The sequence below is a fragment of the Homo sapiens genome, chromosome 2 (genome assembly GCF_000001405.40).
Source record: "Homo sapiens chromosome 2, GRCh38.p14 Primary Assembly".
Lineage (NCBI taxonomy): Eukaryota > Metazoa > Chordata > Mammalia > Primates > Hominidae > Homo > Homo sapiens.
Window position 1 is genome coordinate 46,680,725 of NC_000002.12, and position 21,448 is coordinate 46,702,172.

At 42.4% G+C, this 21,448-nt stretch overlaps 1 protein-coding gene across 2 annotated transcripts in view, besides 7 other annotated features; it reads left to right on the forward strand.

Annotated features, from left to right (window-relative positions):
* Positions 724–918: a silencer, noted in NCBI's record as "fragment chr2:46908587-46908781 (GRCh37/hg19 assembly coordinates)". NCBI's record gives its function as "represses an EF-1alpha promoter that drives an FKBP-Casp9 reporter gene in an ReSE screen in phorbol 12-myristate 13-acetate-treated (for megakaryocytic differentiation) K562 erythroleukemia cells {active_cell/tissue: K562(+PMA)}" and the evidence as "EXISTENCE:reporter gene assay evidence [ECO:0000049][PMID:32094911]".
* Positions 18,012–18,101: a silencer, noted in NCBI's record as "silent region_11453". NCBI's record gives its function as "represses an Ori minimal core promoter by ATAC-STARR-seq in GM12878 lymphoblastoid cells {active_cell/tissue: GM12878}" and the evidence as "EXISTENCE:reporter gene assay evidence [ECO:0000049][PMID:35858748]".
* Positions 18,142–18,191: a silencer, noted in NCBI's record as "silent region_11454". NCBI's record gives its function as "represses an Ori minimal core promoter by ATAC-STARR-seq in GM12878 lymphoblastoid cells {active_cell/tissue: GM12878}" and the evidence as "EXISTENCE:reporter gene assay evidence [ECO:0000049][PMID:35858748]".
* The window catches only part of SOCS5 (suppressor of cytokine signaling 5), a 64,193-nt gene continuing 60,957 nt past the window's right edge, over positions 18,213–21,448 (forward strand). Inside the window, exon 1 of one of the 2 annotated variants that reach the window (NM_014011.5) lies at positions 18,213–18,387. The gene's annotated coding sequence lies outside the window, so the exon portion shown is untranslated. Of the gene's footprint in view, positions 18,388–18,570; positions 18,726–21,448 lie in introns of those variants that run through there. The other variant, NM_144949.3, reaches the window with a different exon arrangement.
* Positions 18,267–18,783: an enhancer, noted in NCBI's record as "H3K27ac hESC enhancer chr2:46926130-46926646 (GRCh37/hg19 assembly coordinates)". NCBI's record gives its function as "activates a minimal SCP1, AML or CMV promoter by ChIP-STARR-seq in naive H9 embryonic stem cells {active_cell/tissue: H9 hESC(naive)}" and the evidence as "EXISTENCE:reporter gene assay evidence [ECO:0000049][PMID:30033119]".
* Positions 18,267–18,811: a biological region, named in NCBI's record as "H3K27ac hESC enhancer GRCh37_chr2:46926130-46926646".
* Positions 18,292–18,811: a silencer, noted in NCBI's record as "silent region_11455". NCBI's record gives its function as "represses an Ori minimal core promoter by ATAC-STARR-seq in GM12878 lymphoblastoid cells {active_cell/tissue: GM12878}" and the evidence as "EXISTENCE:reporter gene assay evidence [ECO:0000049][PMID:35858748]".
* Positions 18,872–18,921: a silencer, noted in NCBI's record as "silent region_11456". NCBI's record gives its function as "represses an Ori minimal core promoter by ATAC-STARR-seq in GM12878 lymphoblastoid cells {active_cell/tissue: GM12878}" and the evidence as "EXISTENCE:reporter gene assay evidence [ECO:0000049][PMID:35858748]".

Here is a 21,448-nt window from a genome sequence, read left to right on the forward strand (position 1 = left end):
GCTCACTGCAACCTCTGCCTCCCGGGTTCAAGCCATTCTCTTGCCTCAGCCTGGGATTATAGGCACACGCCACCACACCCGGCTAATTTTTGTATTTTTAGTAGAGACAGGGTTTTGCCATGTTTGTCAGGCTGGTCTCAAAACTCCCGACCTCAGGCGATCTACCCGCCTTGGCCTCTGAAAGTACTGGGATTACAGGTGTAAGCCACCACACCCAGCCTACAAAAATACTTTTCACCAATCAAACCATAAAACAGCAACAACAAAAACAACTGTATAAGAGATGTTTTATTTTAAGTTTGTATTTTGCTTTGTATTGTTTGTTTTATTAGCAACTCCCAAAACACACATGGCCCCAGAGAATAAGAGGACCACAGCTGAGTTGCTTTTCAGACATCAGACAGCTGTCCTTGTGGATGAAAGAAACTCCTTTCCAACTTTGAAGAAAATGTCCAGGGATCGGGGAGCAGGCATGTGATATTCTTCAAGGTGCCACCAGCCTTTCTCAATAAAACATCTCCAGTGGGAAAACATGGAACCCAGAAAGGGCTGGTGTGGGAAAAATATGACAAGGATGGCCGGCAAAGTAAACCCATGGTGAATTCAACCCTGAGAAAGCAGATTTCCTGGAGTGTGCAAGCTTTGCTTAGGCTTAGTTTTAATAAATAATAAAGAGACACAATTAAACAAACTAAAGGTGATCTTGCCCCGGATGGCTCCTTAGGATCTTTAGAACATGGCAATTCAATTTAAACGCGGAGCCCCTACTCTGCTGGACTGACAGGAAATTGAACTGTCCAGGTCATGACTCCCGTGTATGAAGTGCAGCTGTCCAGGTCACCCCTGGAACATCTTTCACAACCTTGCTGAGGGCCCTGCTAGGAACCAGGCATCTTAAGAAGCACTAGGTCATCTGGAGGCCCTTCCCATCATTAGTTCACATGAGCACGTCCCAGTCTGCATGGTCTCCTTGGGGTTACCCCTCTGCTATTAAATATTTTCTAGAAAAAAAAAAAAAAGACTCTTTGGCAAAGACCCAGCCTCCCTGAGGCACATACAGCGAGGGGGTACCACCAAGAAGCAGGTGACATCCTTGAGGCTTCTGGATTCACAGACCTTTTTAGTTTAGGAAAATACAGCCCTCCTCAAACCCTATTCTTCTCTGCAGGTTTATTTGAAATGAAAGCCTGGAAGTCCAGCCACAAGTCTCTCCTGAGGCTGAGACACAGAGCCAGCCAGAATGAAAAATGGAAAGGGGAAAATACAGAGAGAGAAATTAAATCAGTATCTCAAAGGTTTTCCTCTTTTTTCTAAAATGAAATTCCTTTCATTTTAGTGTTTATTTTAGAGTTGAGGCAACTGAGACATGGGCATAATGACCAAAGGCACACAACTAGTTACAAACAGTGACACAACCAGTTACTGACACCTACTAGTTACTGACAGATACTAACAGCCAACAATAGCTGGCTCTTTCTATTATACCATGGTGCCTCTTCATTTTTTCTGATTTCCAACCTCTTTTCTATTCTAAACTGCCCTTGTTGATAGGCACTTAAGTCTCTGCACCTACAGTCTTAGACATATTTGGAAACTTCTCTTAAGCATGTTGATCCATCCAGGGCTGAATTATCTGTGATCAAAAGAATTACTCCACCCTGGGGCATATCCAACAAGATGAAAGATTCAGAAATAAATTACATTGTGCTCCATTCTTCCTGGCTCTCAACATCTTCCCGCATAAGAAATCAGTTTCCTGAGAGTCTCCAGGCTCCAAAAGGCCATCCTAAGGGATGAAGGCAAAGTCTCATGGGTCCAGCCACCCACCACAGACATCTCTAGGATGACTTTGGGGACCTGATTGTTCCTGTGGCAATGATGCATGTGGCCTGGGAGTTTTGGGAAAGGTAGGTTCATGAGCTATTTATGTGTAGTTAAGTGTTTGGTCTTTCTGAGCATCAGCTGGCAAGGCCATGTCCTCATCCCACTGCCTCTGAGAGTCACTGCTTAGCTGTGTCTAAGCAATGAGGGGAAGAGGGGGTGATATTGTATCTAACTTTGAGAGTAATCATTACTGTGTCAGTGTGCAAATGACAAGTTCCAGTGGGTAGTGTAGAAGGTTTTCTAGTTATTTTGTCTATTATAGGCATGGTCCAATACTTCCTCTTCCTCTTTCTTTTAATAAAGGACTGCAAGAGAAAAGGATGTACTGTTATGCTTTATAATTCAGGCAGACAATACAGGTATTGGCTAACTTGATTTGCCATGATCAGCTGCCTTTTTTTTTTTTTTTTTTTTTTTGAGACGGAGTCTCGCTCTGTCGCCCAGGCTGGAGTGCAGTGGCGGGATCTCGGCTCACTGCAAGCTCCGCCTCCCGGGTTCACGCCATTCTCCTGCCTCAGCCTCCCAAGTAGCTGGGACTACAGGCGCCCGCCACTACGCCCGGCTAATTTTTTTGTATTTTTAGTAGAGACGGGGTTTCACCATTTTTTAGCCGGGATGGTCTCGATCTCCTGACCTCGTGATCCGCCCGCCTCGGCCTCCCAAAGTGCTGGGATTACAGGCGTGAGCCACCGCGCCCGGCCTCAGCTGCCTTTTTTTTTAAGCCAATCTGGCAGAAAAGAGTTGGACTGTTGTGAGAGTTGTATCGGCCCTTCCATTGCTTTTCTGTCCAATCCATTCATTAGCAGCAGAATAGTCAAGGGACCACATTACTTTACTGTAGAACAGAGAGGTCTGTTGTTGTGAGTGGGTTGACTGGGAACAAAGTTCTATCACTCCAATTCTGATTCTGGATTCTGAAGTCATTGCTAAGTTACTACCAGTCCTCATCTCCACAAATCACTTGGTGGACAATTAAAACTAAGTTAAACAAAGTTGAGCCTACTGAATACAATTTTTTCTTGCAGTCGGGGGCAGAGGTATGGTGGGAAGGGGGGCCAAAACTAGACCTAACCAAATAAGTGAAGAGCAAACAGCCACAGTGGAGGTTCTCATGGTGGCTCGGGTACTTCCTCATGCCCCGCCTCTGCACCTGCCATCTCTCTGCAACCAGAGTCCCTCTGAATGCTACCGCCACAGCCACTCTCTTCTGTCACCCTTTGCTCCCTCCTCACAGATTCCCAGGACTTGCCAGACAGAATTATTGCCTTTTCAAATGATTTAAACCTCCTCTCTCAAGGCTTTCCTCCCCAAATTCTCCACCTCCCCTCAATTCCTCTGACTCCCTTGTACATTCCATATTGTTCTCTTTGTCACTTTCTTTCTCTCTTTTTTACCACTCCCATGTCCAGGTATGCTCGTGTATGGAGAGACAACATTCTACTTAGGTTAAATGATCTCCTTTTCAAAAATGTGGAGTGTATTTCCACAAATCTCAGACACTGAGTAGGTAGGATATTAGAGTTGCAAGAATGTTTGGACAGTAGCAACTTTAAATATTGCTTTTCTGTTTGTGGTTCTTTGAGACATATCCAAACAACTAATGGAAACAATTTTTTTTCTAAGTTTTAAGTAAGCTCTGTTGCTTTGGTGTCAGCAGCCTCTACTGCTGCCTCTTGCCAGCTTTCCACTTGGTAGAAGATGCTTCCTAAAGATGCACTTTGTGAAGTCTCTGCAGAACCAGCATAGACCAAGCCAAATCATGATGAAAATTCTTGTTGTCTGCTCCTTCTCCCAGTGCAGTCCTGTGTTTCCACTTGTTGGAAATATATCTGCCTGTCAATGTCTGAGAACGCCAGCACCTTTTCGATGTTACGAACTCACAGTGCTCCTCTTCCAGAATGCCAGCATTCATAATTTTTAAGCCTCAAACTTTCAAGAAATGGAAGCAATTGAATTACACTGCATTTAAAAGTAGAAATGGTACTATTACATAGCTAGAAATTTCTGTCAGGTATGTATTGGCAGTAACATTATTTATGCTTAAAAAATGAGTCCTTCTAAATTTACATTTGTGTGCCAGTCACAAGTTATGTTTCTAGAATGTTCTTTAGCTTCAAACAACTTTCTTTTTGTCCCAGAAATTCTGATTGCTGTGATACAGAAATTTACAGAAGTTTGAATTGAAACAAAAAGTTTCAAAACTCAGCTGGACATAAATTATATTTATTACTGTGAGGAAAACACTTAGTTGTAACCTCTCTTACAGGAAAGTTTTTGAATTTTTAAGATATGACTAATAACGATTTATGAGGTACAACTTCACAAGGAGAAAAAGGATTTGAGTGAAAACTTTTGGAGGTAAAATAGAAAATCACAAGTGTAACTATAGATGAACTCCTATAGAAATCATCTGCTAACTTAATTGAGCAAGTGAAATCCATTAAACTTTCAAAAATCAAACATGCATGATTGAGTTCTTTTTATTTACCTGCAGAGTTGTTTGTGGAATCTATTATTTTCAAAGCATGCTATCATAACATGGGTTGTCAATAACTTGATTCTAGTAATATGGTAGAAAGGGCATTGAATTAGGAATCAGATAACCTGGATTTTATTTTCACCCTGCTATTTACCAGGTTTGTGACTATGGTCATGTCTCTTCAATACTTTGGATCTCTGCCTTCTCATCTCTTCAACAGGAATAATAAATACCCTACACCTCCTTGCCTCTTAATGTTGTTGTGAGGATCAAATAAGGTCCTAGTTGTTAAATAACTTTGAAACTATAAAGTGCTATACAATATAACACATTCTGCTCATTATTACCTCAGAATTCCTCTCAGATTACATTGCCTCAAATGCATTATTTAGGAAAAGTACAAACTTGAATGCCATATGGAGTCCTTGTTGACACTGCAGATGTTGGTTAATTTTAGATTCTAAAAGAACAAAAGAACAGAAGCACTACCAAGCAAATTAGCCTCTCTTTAGCTTTTTCTTCGAAATCTCATATTATACGAATACCAAACTAAAAATGGCAGGCTAAATATTATAGACAATTACATCATTTGAAGCATTGAAATTCTGTATATCCAAGCCCTTTTGCAGAACATGAGTTTATTCCCTCCAAAGCAGATTGCCAATGAATTTAATGCTATAAGATTAATTATGGTTACTCTTTTGAGGGCCAAGTAAAAGAATTTTAATCTTAAACTTTAACTGTAAATAATACAAAACCAAGGAACACTCAAGAATCTCAGAACCACAAAAAGACATGCAATCCACTTTGGTAGCCATAGTCTCTCTTGAGCTAATGGAAAAGTGAACTAAGCTTAGCTAACCTTGGGCCTCTCTGAAAATTTGGTCATATTTACAAGAGGGCATTTCTTTGCAGAAGAACAGGTGTGACAGACGTCCACATATTCATGACAACTGTTTTGATGGCTCCATCAGTTTGGGAAGACCTGTCCTGCTAACATGTACCATCTGTAAGACATCTTTTTGCATCTTGTCAAATCCAACTTCTGCTTACACATGCATAAGCAAGAGGTGTTTTTGTAAAATATATAGATGGCATCTGTCATTCTATCTTTTGTTTGCATACCACCCACTCACAAAATATATGCTAGAAAAAGCTGAGCATTTTGTAAGTGTCTTGAAATTTTAAAAAAATTATGGAAGCAATGGAACAAATGATCCTTCATATCAAAGCATATTCAATAGATTACCTGAAGTAGTTTAAAGTGGTCTATTTGATATTCTGAGCCTATGTTTTTAATGACATTTCCCAGAGAATAATTCTGTCCCAAGACTGCACACTAGGTCTTAAGGCCTTAAGATACTGATGAAATATCACTCTAACTAGAAATAATTTTCAAATACAGGCTATCAATGTTTCACCTATAAAAATCTTGTTCCTCTAAAAGAGGCAAAAATGACAAAAGATGTTTTAATTTATATTTTAGTAACTTAGTGGCCGCTATAGGATGTATTTCAAAGTATGCTCTCATGTGGATTAGAAATATTAAAAGTAAATCCAAAGGGCAGGCTTTATGACACTGCTTATTTTGGATGCAGTCTAGACTCACTTTTTGAAGTGTTAACTATGTTATCAATGTCCCTCTACCCTGCTCATATGCGTTCAGTACTAAAGACCTGGTAAGACAGGTGCTACCTGATTCCATGTTTCCTAGTTCTCTCAAATTGGAATAACATTTTAACCCTCCAAATATTTGTCCCACGTGAAGAATTTTGTATCCGTCCAGATGATTACAGGCCTGAACCAGAAACTGATTCAAACAACTTCATTCACTGCTGAATGTGAACTGCAACTGACCCCTAAAGTAAATTGGCTTAATTCCCTCAGGTTACCATCTGTTCCCTTCCTTCTTTAACTTCACCAGTGGGCTGAGTTTAATCATAGACCTGGAGGAGTCCTCGGAGGAAGGGGAAGGAATTCTGGCCTGGGTTGGTGTTCAGTCCTTGGGCAGGGCTGCAATAGTAGCATTATTCCTACCATGAAAAGCAGACTCTGGGAATTACCTAGAGAAATCATTTGTCAAACCATGGGAACACCATGAGTTTAATTTGCCTAATTTTGCTTGAAGATATTACATCAACTAAAAATCCTCTGCCAGAGATTTAAAAACGTAATCCAAACTAACTTAATGGAAAAGGTGAATTTGGCTGGGCACAGTGGCTCGTGCCTGTTATCCTAGCACTTTGGGAGGCCAAGAAGGGGGGAATCACTTGAGCTCAGGAGCTCGAGACCAGCCTGGGCCACATAGCAAGATGCCCATCTCAAAATAAATAAATAAATAAAAATAAATAAAAACTTAAAAAGGAAGAAAAGTTCAAAAAGGTTAATTTATTGGTTCTTGTAACTGAACAATTTAGGGCATCTGATTGAGGTGAAGCTTGATCTAGGGCTCCAACAGTGACCCAGGACCTGATTTCTCTCTCTCCATTCTCAATTCAGCATCTTCAATATTGGTTCCATCTTTGGGCAAGTTCACCTTTTGTATGCCCAATATGGATGCAAGCTACTCCAGGGACTACTTGCACCTAGGCTCAGACCCAAGTTGACTTTTTCTTGTGAGTCCAGAATGGATTATTGTGACTGGGGGAATAGGACATACTAGATGGTATAGGCCAAAGTCACATGCTTCACCCCTAAGGCAGGCAGGGAAGGATTAGATGTGGGGACATCACTCCCCTTGTCAATCCCATGGACCGTGAGTAAGGGAGGACCATAGTTCCCTGAAGACCATGAGAGTGTGGTCAGTAGAACTGATATTCTCAACAGACATTGGGACTATGTGCACAAATAATTTCAGAAAATACTATTTTTCACATAAGGGGGAATTCTGGATAGATAAAGTCCAAGTCTTACCAGCTGAGGAAGAAAAAAAGGTAATAGGTAAAGGATAGACTGTACCATTTAAAAAATGGAAGATAGTTTCAACTAGAATTGGACTAGATACTCTTCAGAGAGTTTGGACCGTTCTATAATTTGTAGATTTTGTGATTTCTGACGTGCACTGGAGCTAAGAAAAACTTTCTGGATGGTTATTTGCTGTATCTTGTTAACCTCATTTTCTATTTTTAAATACTTTCTCTTATGCTATAATTAAACAAGAAAAACACAAAACAAAAAAACCTCCATACACATGAAACAGAACCAAAGAGAAATTCTATGTGGAAAGATAATTTTATTTTCTAATAATGATAGTGGCCAGGCGTGTTGGCTCACGCCTGTAATCCCAGCACTTTGGGAGGCCAAGGTGAGTGGATCACTTGAGCCCAGGAGTTCAAGACTAGCCTGCACAACATGGTGAAACCCTGTCTCTACCAAAAATACAAAAATTTAGCCGGGTGTGGAGGCACGTGCCTATAGTCCCAGCTATTGGGAGGCTGAGGAGGGAGGGAACCTCGTGAGTTCAGGAGGTTGAGGCTGCAGTAAGCCATGATTGCACCACTGCACTCCAGCCTTGGTGACAGGGTGAGACTCTGTGTCAAAAAAATAGAAAATAAAAAATAAAATAAAAATGATAGTGATGTGGCTGGGCTAGCTTCTTAAGATGTATATATTTTTTAAATGGCAGCTCACACTACCACATCACTCATGCACATTTCTACATCTGTATATATTCTCGCAAAGAACTCATGTAAGTTTAGGATCCTTCTATCCTCATCTTGTATATCTGTAATCTGATAAATAAGAAAAGGTCTTTTGGGAGTAGAGGGGGGAACTAATGTAAAGATAGAATACCTGCTCTACATGGCCCAGTTATAAAGCACATTTACAAAAGTCTACCCACTTCACCAAGCCCTAAAATCTATTTTCCAAAAGCAACTATGGGAAAATGAAAAATTACTAAGGGAAATGAGAAGGAATGCTAATGAAAAATGGTCAAAGGGTATTTGGCCCTGGGGCTAGGGTAGCACTAGAGCTGTTTCAGGTGGGGAATACCTTACAAGTTTTCAATTCCAAACCCATCAATCCTATTTGAGACTTCATTCCAGAGATGCTTCTATATGTTGAATTAAGAAAATGCAAGTTTTCTAGAGGATGCAATTCATTAGCTGGGGCGTAATCAAATTGAATTTTATTCTCTCTGAGTTTTTTTTTTCTTCCCTTTTAAAGCATCATTCCAACTATTACTGGTTGCAGGAGAGGCAGATTAAATATTTTTAAATGTTCCTTATTAGAAAAAATATGGCTGGGTGCGGTGGCTCATGCCTGTACTCCCAGCACTTTGGGAGGCCAAGGCTGGTGGATCACTTGAGGCCAGGAGCTTGAGACCAGCTTGGCCAACATGGCAAAACCCTGTCTCTACTAAAAATTCAAAAATTAGCTGGGCATGGTGGTGGGCGCCTGTAATCGCAGCTACTCAGGAGGCTGAGGCATGAGAATCACTTTAACCTGGGAGACAGAGGTTGCAGTGAGCTGAGATGGTGCCACTGCACTCCAGCCTGGATGACAGAGCAAGACTCTTGTCTCAGAAACAAAACAAAACAAAATCAAAACAAAACCCATAAAGAATGTACAGGGTACTCTTTTTTTTTTTGACGGAGTCTCACTCTGTCACCCAGGCTGGAGTGCAGTGGCACGATCTCGGCTCATTGCAACCTCTGCCTCCTGGGTTCAAGCAATTCTTCTGCCTCACCCTCCTGAGTAGCTGGGATTACAGGCACACGCCACCACGCCTGGATAATTTTTGTATTTTTAGTAGAGACGGGGTTTCACCACATTGGCCAGACTGGTCTCGTACTCCTGACCTCGTGATCCGCCTACCTCAGCCTCCCAAAGTGCTGGGATTACAGGCGTGAACCACCGCGCTGGCCTGTACAGGGTACTCTTAATGAAATGAGAAAGTTAATTCTTGGAAAACTGAGGTTCTAATTTGGAGTCCCAACATCTTAGAACATTCCTTTGGAAGATGTTATCAGTTTATTACAGTTTGGGAGACCTCTGGGGATTTATCATAAGGATATATTTGCAGAGATGTGCCAGGTTATTCACTACAGAATTGTTTGTAAGAAATAGCAACGACTGGAAACAACCCAAGTGTTCGTCAAGAGGGGAACGATTAAATAAACTATGGCACATCATGCAGTGTAACGCCATGCAGATGTTGAAAGAATGAGGAAGCTCTCTTAGTATTGATATAAAAGATCCCCAAGGAACATTGTTAGAAAAGCAAGATACAGATCAGGGATACAATATGCTACCTCCTCTGTAAGAAGGGGGAAGAGAAGAAATGTAAGAATTGCTTGTACTTGTATGAAGAAACACCGAAAGGATATACAGACAAACCAATATAAATAGATAGCTCTACCTATGAGAGTGTGTTAAGGGGGAGAACAGAGTGAAAGGGCAGGGTAGGAGAGAGACTTTTTTATTTTTCATGGCCAGCTCTTACAAAGAAGGAGAGAGACTTTCCACTCCACCTTTTTACAGTAGTCTCCCCTGATCCCCCTTGGGGATGTGTTTCAAGACCCCCCGTAGATGCCTGAAGCTGCAAATGATACTGAACCCTATATATACTATGTTTTTTCCTATAAATGCATACCTATGATAAACTATAATTTATAAATTAGGCACAGTAAGAGATTTGAACAACTAATAATAAAACAGGACAATTACAATATGCTGTGATACAAGTTATGTGAATGGTCTCTCTTTTTCTCTCAAAATACCTTATTGTACTGCAGATTTGAGCAACCTCAGCCTACTATTTTGTTTTCTTTCTTTGAGAATTTTCACCTTTTTACTTAAAGGAGCATTTTTCAGCTTCTCTTTTGACATATCTGAATTTCCAGCTTCCCTACTCTTGTGCTTTGGGGCCATTTTTGAGTAAAATAAGGGTTCTTTGAAGAGAAACACTGCAATACAGCGATGGTCAATCTGATAAGCGAGATGCTACTAAGTGACTAATGGGTGGGTACAGGGATGATTCACATCCTGCTGGATGGGATAGAGTGGGATGATGGGAAATTTTATCACGCTACTCAGAACGACGTGAAATGTAAAACTTTTGAATTGTTTATTCCTGGAATTTTCCATCGAATGTTTTCAGACCACAGTTGACTAGAGGTAACAAATCACAGAAAGCAAAACCATGGATGGGGTTTTGATTTGTAAAATGTGAATGTATCAGCTGGTTAAATATAAATAAATATTAAAAAGGAAAATGCTTGAAAGAAGTCATTAAAGGAGTCAGAGGGAAACTTCACAGGAGCTGTAGTTGCTTTTAAAACCACAACAGAAAACCTGAATCCACCCTCCACAACGAAAGGCATCTTTTCGGTAGGGGTCAAGTTGGGGGCTGCAACAGAAACCCAGACCATACTGATTCCCATTCTCTGAGTGTCCCATTCGCTGAGCACCTGGCCTGTCTAATATCTTCAGTGCACTTGGCTATCTTTTCACAGCTTTCTTTCCTCTAAGAAATCAGAGATTCTGGAAGATGCTGATGACAATGATTATACTTTATTAATATAATAAAGAGTTAAATTAAAGCTTTACTAAGAATGTGGGTTATTGCATATATTCATAAATGCCAAGATAGTTCCCTAGTTATCTTCCCAAGAGGGTGAGACTCCTGGTTCACGTGTCTGGACTGGGTTCCTTCTCGATGCCCTCATGATCACCTGTGTGTAGCTTAGTTATTGAGCTTAAAACATTCCATGGGAATCACTGGGGTATGAGGCAGTCTTTTCCACTAGACTGAGTTTTTTGAGGGCAAGCAATGTGTCTTATTCATTGAGTTTTGTATTCTCAGAATCTATCACAGTGCCTGCCACAAGACTGGCACTCTACAAACTGGTATTTCATCCACCGAATTGCTTAGGCCAAAGTCCTAAGAGTCATATTGAATGTCTTTCCCTCACTCACCCCATTAAATAAGACTTTTCGGTTCTACCTGCAAAACATACATTAAAACCCACTTCTCTTCACCATTTTCAGTGTTACCACCCTAATCCAGACCACTGACATCTGTAGTCTGAACCAAAACAACTAATCTTCCTTCTGATCCTCACTCCCAAAGACCCCAGGATGCATTCTCCATATGCAGATGAAGCAATCTTTATTGTTGTTTTAGAGACAGGGTCTTGCTCCATCACCCAGGGAGGAGTGCAGTGGTGTGATCACAGCTCACTGCAGCCTCAAACTCCTGGGCTCAAGGGATCCTCCCATCTAGGCCTCCCAAAGTGTTGGAATTACAGGCATGAGCCACTGTATCTAGCCCAGAGCACTCTTTTAAAAAATAAGTCATATCACATCTCTGCTTAAAACCCTTCAATGGTTTCCTGTTACAATTAGACTAAAATTTAAACTATTCACCCTGACCTTCAAAGTTCTGCATGATCTGGCCCCACTTGCTTCTTTGATTTCAATTCCTACCACTGCCCCTTGCTTCTGTCATGCCACAAAGATCTTCTTTCAGTTTCTCAAATCTACTTTGTGCGCTCTTGTCTCAGGGTCTCTGCACTCTTCCCTTTGCCTGAAATGCCCTCCTCTTGATTTTCGTATACTTGCTTCCTTCTAGTCATCGATGCTCAAACACCACTTCCTTAGTGAAGCCCACCATGACCACTCCAGTTACATTATTGTTCTGTGCTATTTGTAGCACCTTTAACTATATAGATGAAAATCTTGGTTGGTTTGTGCTTATTGCCCCCACTATCTTGTAAGTTTGATGAAGACTCGTGATCATCTTTGCGTGCCTGATGCCTAGAATAGGGCCAGGTATATAATGCTCTAAAAAGTTTTTGTTGAGTAAATAAAGGCCTGTAAAATTAAACATGGATAGAATATTTATTTAATTTCTTTAGAGACCTTTTTATGTCACTATTTAATTATAAAGGCAATACACGATTATTAAAATAAATGAAGATGTCATGATTGGTTTTTGAAGAAACATTGTAGAAAGTAAGCTAAGAAGCTGGGCATGGTGGCTCATGCCTGTAATCCCAACACTTTTGGGAGGCTGAGGCGGTAGGATCACTTGAGTTCAGGAGGTGGAGACCAGGTTGGACAACATAGGGAGACCCTGTCTCTATAAAAAATACCAAAATTAGCTGGGCATGATGGTATGTGCCTATAGTACCAGCTACTCGGGAGGCTGAGGCAGGAGGAATGCTTGAGCCTGGCAGGTTGAGGCTGCAGTGACCCATGACTGCGCCACTGCACTCCAGCCTGGGTGACAGAGTGAGACCCTGTCTCAAAAAATAAAAAAAAGAAAGTAGGCTAAGAGAGTTAATTAAAGGACTAATTGGGAGAATACGATTCTACAAAAAACAATAATTTATGTCATAAACCAATCTAGGGAGGCCCAGGCACTATGTCAGGTAGAAGGCATATAAAGATGACTGGACAAGCTGGGTGCAGTGGCTCACCCCTGTAATCCCAGCACTTTGGGAGGCCAAGGCAGGTGGATCACCTGAGGTCAGGAGTCCGAGACCAGCCTGGCCAACATGGTGAAACCCCGTCTCTACTAAAAATACAAAAAATTAGCTGAGCATGGTGGCAGGTGCCTGTAATCCCAGCTACTCGGGAGGCTGAGGCACGAGAATCACCTGAACCTGGGAGGTGGAGATTGCAGTGAACTGAGATTGTGCCATTGCACTCCAGCCTGGGCAACAAGAGCGAAAAACGCCGTCTCAAAAAACAGAAAAGCAAAAACAAAGCAAACAAACAAAACAAAGATAATTGGACACTGGTTTTTTACTGAAGGCACTCAAAATCTATCAGGAGATATAGTTCTGTAATTATAATATCTAATATCTGCATAAAGCAAATCATGTTCATATTTATAATTACTTTATTTGATCACCACAAGGGTCCCATGAGGTAAGGTATTACTATGGTTTTATTACAATTTTATATGTGAAATAACCAAGGCTCAGAGAGGTTATGTGATTTGTCTTGGATGACATAGCAAATAACTGAGATTTTAAATTTAAGCCCAGATCTTCTGACTCAGGTCTCCTGTTCTACTTCATCACCATGTCTATTTAGTGTGATAAATGTATGTGCAACCTGTTATAGGAGGTTAAGTGTAACTGAGAGGACTATTTTTATTGGAAAAGTCTGGAAAAACTTTGCCGAGGAAAAGTCATTTAAATGGGGCTGTGAAGGACAGACAGGAGTTTTTCAGGTAAAGAAGGAGTCGCATTTTAAGCAAAGATTTGATGAAAAAGCAGAAAGATGACAATGAACAGCACATTCTATGTAGTGGGTAGCGGAGAGGTCCAGTAGGGAAGGTTGGGGCAATTTTGTGCCGTTTTGTATGCAGTTGGGTAGTCCATGAAAGCGGGGGACTGAAACAGTCAGATCTGGGCTTTCAAAAGAAAATTAGAGTGGCAGATTGGTAGATGAATTGGAGCATGAAGAAACAAGTTAGGAGTTTTTGCGATCTTGCGAGGTAAGTGTCTGAATGAGGATAGTGAAAATGGAAAATACTTACTAAAAAATGTATGTGTGAGTTAGAGTCACTTATTGACCTTGGGAGGTGGCAGAGAGGGAAGAGAAGATTATTTTAGACAACTTCTAGCATATGTGACTTTGATAAATGATGATTAGCTCAACCATATGGGAGAGGACAGAAAAAGTGGTTTGAGAAGGAAATGGTAGGTGAGGGATGGGAGTTTTCTTGTAGTTAAAGCATTTACCATTAGCCATGTTTGGTTTGAGATGCTTGTTTGTAGTATGTAGGTCGAGCAGGTAGCTAAAAATATGGTTCTAGACTTCGAAAACAAGGTTTAAGCTGGAGATCTAAATTTTAGAGTCGTCAAAATACAAGTTTTATTAAAATTCCTACTGTAAACGGGCACAAGGAAACTTTTTGGTGTAATGCAAATATTCTATTTCTTGATTATGGTAGTAGTTACAGGGTTATGTATGTCTCAAAACAGATTAAACTGGTACACTTAGAACGTGTCTATTTTACTGAAATTTAAATCCCTTAGAAAACCCCACTAAAATTAGTAGAAGTAAACTGCCTTGTACAACATATAAGTACTGAAGAGTTTAAAAATTGACAAACATTAAACTATTTAAAGATGAAATTAACTACTTAAGTTATATAGTTAACTAAGTTTAAATTAGCTATATAACTATTTAAGGGGAAATTGTTCTACACACATCAGTTAAAAACAAGTGATTGGCAGCAAAGAAAGTTGCCATGGTTTCAGTTGCTTCAGAAGCCACTGCTAGATGTGCCAGTTTATTGGCCATTGGGGGATCCCTCCATCCAAAGACCTATTCCCTCCCCAAACCACCTGCCTCCACCCTGAGCACACTCTTCCTCAGCCTATGCCTGCCAACTCAGTGCCACATGGGTTGGCTTCCCCATTTGCTGTGGCTGAGACAACAAAAGTACTTGAAGAACACAATGTGACTCATCGCTGAACAAGAAATGTTTCCTTATTGATTAATTTTAGGCTTATGGCCAATTTGGCCTCCTCATTTGGCATAAATCCCTCAGCATCACTTATGAACTGTCCTTTCAATGCTCAGCTTAAACTCTATTTTGTACAAGAAACCATTTTTACTTTGATAGAAAGAGGTAACAGAAATCTGTTACCTCTATTCAGCTACCAGTATGGACATATCCACTATGAGTATACAATCATCAAACTTATATAAGTATGTTGGCATCTTGGTTCCATCACTTACTAAGTCTTTGTGACCTTGAAGAAAATGGGGATAATGAAACCTACCTTGCAGGGTGGTATGAATTAAGTCAGATAGTATACGTGAAAATGCCAGTGGCAGCATTGAGTAGGTGCTCAATACATGGCAAATTTCTTGTCAAACCTGACTATCCTTTCCTGAATATTTAGTCTCTTAAGTTTCTTGAACGTGAAAGCACTCTTTTCTGTGCTTTGTACTTTCACCCTAATACAGTGGGATATATTCTCAGGAGTAATTGTGGAATGATGTTTACAAAGCTAGCAGGTCAAGGATAAAATTGAAGAAGATTTATGCAATAAATAGGTGGATGAGGAGAGATCATTCTTAGGGAATGCAAAAAAGGAATTTGATTCAGAGGCGGTGGCAAAGGTCTTTCTTTACATTTCCTCTTTCCATTCATTTACAATTTTATTTTGCCAAAAAGAGGGGACAGAAAGTCTAATCTTGATGAGTGTGAAGCTGCAGGATGATGTGCCAATACACCTGGTATTGGTTCACGCCAGCTGGGAAAGGAGCTTGGCTTCTCAGTGTTTTACTACTGTGGTTTCCTGGGCTGGGCAGCTGGGTGCCTAATAATGATAAAAACCATAATACTTCATAATTACGCACTGCCCTTTGCCAGAACTTGGATTTAATTATGACTATGACAGAACTGGCAACATCTTGCTCCCTATTGGGGTGCAATACCCAAGGGCCTGGAAATACAAAGTGAAGTGGCAACTGCACCCTTCTCCTGCAGGGCCTATCCTGGCAGTTCACCCAGGGTTCTCTGGGTTTGAAGCTCATCATCAGAAACAAAGAGTACTTTTAAATTGCTTGCATGTACTTGACACTGTCAAGTAAAGTAGCGTTTATGAAGCAACTACTGCCACACATGGGGCACAGGATCATGGAATCCCAGGCCCGGAAGGGACCAAAACAGGTGACATCATTCATAATTCTGTCCCCTGCCCTCAGGCATCACCGCCACTACACTCAAGTAGGCGAGTTCACTGACCTTTTCATTCTGATTTGGGCTGGATATACTTTTGTGGTAGCCTGTTTCAGGTGTCAGGGGGCTCACCAATTCATTCAACACTCGTTTTGTGAGCACCTATTCTGAGCTAAGGCACTGTGGGGGCACAAAGATGTGTAAGATATAATCCTTGACCTCAAATAGCTTATCATCTAGTTGAGGGATTTGTATTCAGGTAGCTGTAATATAAAAATATAAAGATAGAGGAAAGTCCTGGCTGATGAAAGGGCATGGAATCAACACACTAAGTGAAAGGATCAAGGCAATTTCTTCTTGGAGAGTAAGAAGAAAGCAGAAGGAAGGGGGAATGGACATCAGTGAAGAGCTGAGCAACAACTTGGGAAGTTCTTATCGGTTTCCCTGCTTTATTGTCTTCATAATACTTATCATTCCCTGAATTATCTCATTTATTTACTAATGTACTTTTACCATTTGTCTTGTCCCACTCAGGAACTTTGTCTGTTTTGTTCACCACTACATCCTGAGCATCTCAAACAATGCCTGGTGCATAGTAAGGTGCTCAGTTAAGTACTGGCCTAATAAATAAATGATGCAGGTGAGGCAGTGGCAGTGGCAGTAGAAGTGAACAGAAGAAAGCATTTAGTAAATATTACCAACACGATAAAGTTAGAAGAGGTAGGGAGATGTTAGAGCAGTGAGGAAGTGGCATGAAAGGTTACTTCAAGGTTCCTGGCTTGGGCAAATAAGTGGATGGTGGTTATCATCAAAAAAAGATAAGGAACAGATGAGAAGGAGGAGCAGGTTTTGTGAACCTCAGAGGGTATATGAGGTCCCATGTGGAGACATCATGGCTTGCAAGTGCAGATGCCCAAGAGGCACTTATACCTGCAGATCTGGACGTCATTAAACATACATTCAGCTGTTGAGCCATCAGAATGGTCAGATCACCCAGTGGGCAGAGAGAGAAACGACTGCATGCCCACTAAATAGAGGACTGAGGGTCAGATCCTTGGGCGTAGAGTCAACAGAGAACAGATTTAGAAAGGCTAACTGAACAGAAAGACAATCTGAGGGTTTAGGGTGTTAGAAAAGTGGGCTGAGGGGTACATCAGGGAAGAGAAAAAGGCTTCATGTAGTCCACAAAATCCACCGCAGGAGACCAAGCAGGATGACTACAAATCGACCTTTGAACCCGGTCATACGGGTGTCACTGCGAGCCTTAACAGAAGCACTTTTTAGTGGATTAGTTGGGAGAATAACTTAGCCAGTACTTGAGGGATGAATTGAAATAAAGGATGAGAGCTAGACAGTCTCACAGGAGAGCTTTTTGGTTTATTAAGTTGAGGCGCTGGAACATGATCAAGGTTATGTCTAACACTTAAGAAGTGACCGGTACGTTTGTGAACGACGACAAGGTTTCTAAAACACTAGTGGGGCCGGGCATGGTGGTTCACGCCTGTAACCCCAGCACTTTGGGAGGGGAGGCCGGGGTAGGAGGATCCCTGGAACCCAGGAGTTCGAGATTAGCTTGGGCAACACAGGAAGACACTGTCTACCAAAAAAAAAAAAAAAAAAAAAGCCAGCGGGAAGAGCCCTTGCAGGCGTGAACTATGCTTCTCTTCCTCCACCCTTTCAGCCATTTCCAGGGAGGGGGCCCTTCCATATAAAATGCAGACAAAACGACGGAGACCGACACCCCTCCCTCCGATTTGTGAGTCATTTTTGTGGCAGCTGGGGGCGGGGATAGGAATACTTGAATTGCAGGAGGTGCCCGGTTTCCCGTGGATCTTGGAACTTGCTAACTGGGTGGCTCCATGCTGAAGGGCGCTGGAGAGACTCATTCACATTTTCCTACTCGGCACTCACGCCCTCCATTCAGCACTTTCCTCTCCTTCTCCCTAAGACTTGAAACCAGGGACAAAGCTTTCCCCCCACTCCTACTTCAGGTTCACCTTCCACCCACAAGCCCATCGCTTGCCCTTCTCCGACCACGTGACATTCCCCCTCAATCCCCGAGACTCCCCGCCGTCGACCCCTCCCTTCGGGCCGCAGCCCGCTTTACCCCGCCTCTCAGGCCCACGTGACCGCCTCTCTCCCACCTGACTGGCTCCTCCCTTTCCCCGGCCGGACACGGCGCCCGTCGCAGCTGCCAGACTCCAAAATGGCAGCCGCGCAGAGCGCGCACCCAAGCGGCCGGACCTCCCCGACTCCCGGGCCGCCCCCGTCTCGCGCCCTGCCTCCCTCCTTCGGCCTTCACCTACCCGCCTCCGGATTGGCCGCTAGGAATCCCGCCCCTCTAAAGCCCTGCCTGCTATTGGTCACGGTAGGCTGCCCTTCAGAGAGGCGTGCCCCTGCCCGCCCCCCGCCCCCCGCCCCGGGAGGTATTTTCCATTCTGGTGGGGGTTGGGGGGAGGGGGGAGGGGAAACGGGTGAAGAAGGGGAGGCGGCAGGGAAGGGGGTGGGGGCCTGGCGGGGGCATCCGGCGGAGCTGGGGTCCCCGGGCTCCGTCCGGAGGAAGCGACGCTGCGCTCGCTGGGCAGTCGGAGGGGACGGGACGCACCGGAGGGCAGGCGGACTCGCCCTGTCGGTGACTGCGCCGTCCGGGCCCGTCCTGCCTGGCCGCAGGTGCCCTGGATGAGGCCGCCCCGCGCGCCCCAAACGGTGAGTGTCCCCGCGGTCGCGCCCGGCCCGCCGCCTGCTCCCCGGCCCCCGCGCCGTCGTCCGCGGCCGCCTCTCGGTGCCCCAGTGCCCGCGCCCGGCGCATTCCGCCCCCGGCTGTCGCCCCCGCACCGCGGCGGAGGCAGCGCCGGCCTCTGGCTGGGATGGGCTGGCCGGGAAAAGGACTGCTAGCCCGGGCCGCGAGCCCCGTGCAGACCACGCCGCTCACAGTGGGAGCTTGCGCTTAGTAGGCTCTCGATGCATTTCTGTGGAATTGTTTTTCTGGTTGGAGGAACGTGGGGTTCCTAAGGGGAAGGGGGTCGTCCGGGGCCAGTAGGAGGGCATCCGTGATCGGGGTCGTGGTGGGTCGCGGGGAGGCCACCGGAGACTGAAGCAGTTACACAGGCTGCAGGGAAGGGAGCACCGACCAAGTCACTTGGGGCTCCAAGAGCCCGATCTGGGGGTCTTCAAGGTCGAGGAGAAAAGATCCTCTTGGGGATGAGGGAGGGAACCAATGAGTACATATGTGGGAAATGAATTGAGTGCCCCGGGAGGTTTAACTAACCAAGGTGGGTAAGGGATGCGGAGGCGGGAGCTGGAAGACCCCTCTGCAACTACTTGGGCTCCTAAGAGTCTTTGATGTGGGGTTTGGGCATCCGAGTAGCAGAAGCGGAGTGATTTTTGTGGAGAGGGAATTGCATTTAAAGAAGGATGCTAAAAAAACAGTGTAAATACATCTTGGTTTGGTTCCGAACTTTGAAAGGCTTGAGGGATTGGAGTCACAAGGAAATTTTGACATTTTCTTGTGGCATTCCAACTAAAGGGTGCCTGGCTGCTGGACTTTGTCAGTTATCTTTTATTGAAAAATATATGTGTATGTTTGATGGTATTCTATCAGTCACAAGTTTTTCTGGAAATTATCATAACTACACCTTGAAATTCTTGTAGCAACCTCTCTATCCATAGTGGTGGCTTACTTCTTCCCTATTTAACGTTTAGAATGGATTGTGCTATTATGTACTACTGACTTTTATTCTAGAAGACTAATAAGTAATTCACATTCTTTCTTTTCCTTACTTTCGTTTCTCTACAAGATGATGCAAAATTGAACTACGGATTCTATATAAGTTTTAAAATATTTTAACTTGTGTTGACTGGGAAGGAGGTGGTAAGCTAGCAGCTCTATTAAGCAATACTAAAATCAGGTTGAGTTTCTTAACAATTGGTAATCTTAATGTCAGTTGTTTAGTTTAATTTTAATAATTTTTCCTTTATATAGCACTCTTGAGAACATAGAAAATGCACACCGGGTTTAGGCAGTGGTGGTCTCCAGAGTGCACCTCCATGGCAGTCCGTGGCGGTTCTTCATTTCACTGAGATCTTTAATCTTATGAATATTTTCTTAATTTTATATATGTTAGTAATTTTTTACATTTGTAGCGTACTTTACGGTTTACAAAATGAAAGCTGATTAGTACTTAAACATATTTTGGAAAAATTTGTATATCATATTTTGGCCCTTTTATCCATCAGAGAAAACATTTCTGCAAAAAGGTGTTAATATTTTCAGTTGGCACCTTCTTAGTTCTTGAATAACTAATGGATAATTATATATATTTTCTCCTTATTGTCCTTGAATTTTACTATTCGTCCTCAGGGAGAATGTACTGGCTTACAATACAGTAGCCTAAAATATTGAAACCTAACACCTTTTAACATTATAATAGCTTCTACATTATTCACCTTGAGAATCATCTATGGCAAACCAGTGATTAGGGAAGCTTTCCCCTATCACCTTTGTTTAGATTGGGCTGTTTTCTCCTTTTGTAGAACTAAGGAAAAGTAAGACTCACTGGCTGTGAAGTAGTAGTAATAGCTAAACAGAATGAGAATGGGAGGCTTGGAAAAAAGATGTATGTGTATGAGTCACGTTTCTTCTAGAGCTGGAAGGGTAGACCATGGAGATGATATTTTGCAGATTAGGAAACCAAGGCCCAGAGCAGTTGAAGGGATTAAATTGCTATTTAATGGTGGGGCCAGGATTGGTGGGCAGGTCTGTGGACTCCAGTCCAGAGATTGCTTTATCACTTTCACACTGTTTATTTCTAAAGCATTCTCGTGCCAACTGTTAATGGTTTTTGGATTATTTGTGATTTGTTCCCTTCTAAGGATGAAGAAGTTTGAGTTGACTACTTTTATCCATGAAATTTTGTAAAACTGGGTGAGCTTTTATTTAAAAGTTTAAAACAATATGCTGCATTGTTAGCGTTAGTGCTGATAGTTCCCTGTCATTGGAAAGAGACAAACTGTCATTTAGGTGAAAATATTAAATGAATGCCCTAGAGTAGTTTAGCATTCTATAATTTTTATGCTAAAATTAATTGCTTAAAAGATTTTCAAAATTCAGAAGGCTTCTATATTTTGAAAGTAAATTATGTGAACATTATTATTTTCAGTTAGTGTGGCGGTTTTGTTAAAATGGGTTTAGTACCTTTAAAAAGAGAGTAGAATTACATGATCATTATGAATACATCATTCCTATCATAGTTATAATAGAGAAAGACAGGATTTGTATCCCAGCCCCTTCACATGATCTTAGGCAAGTGATTTAACCACTGTGTACCTGAGTTTACTCGTTTGTAAAGGGAGGGTGTTAAAAGTACCTACCTCACAGCATAGTGGTGAGGTTTAACTGTGCCTACCTACTACATAGAAAGGGTACAGCA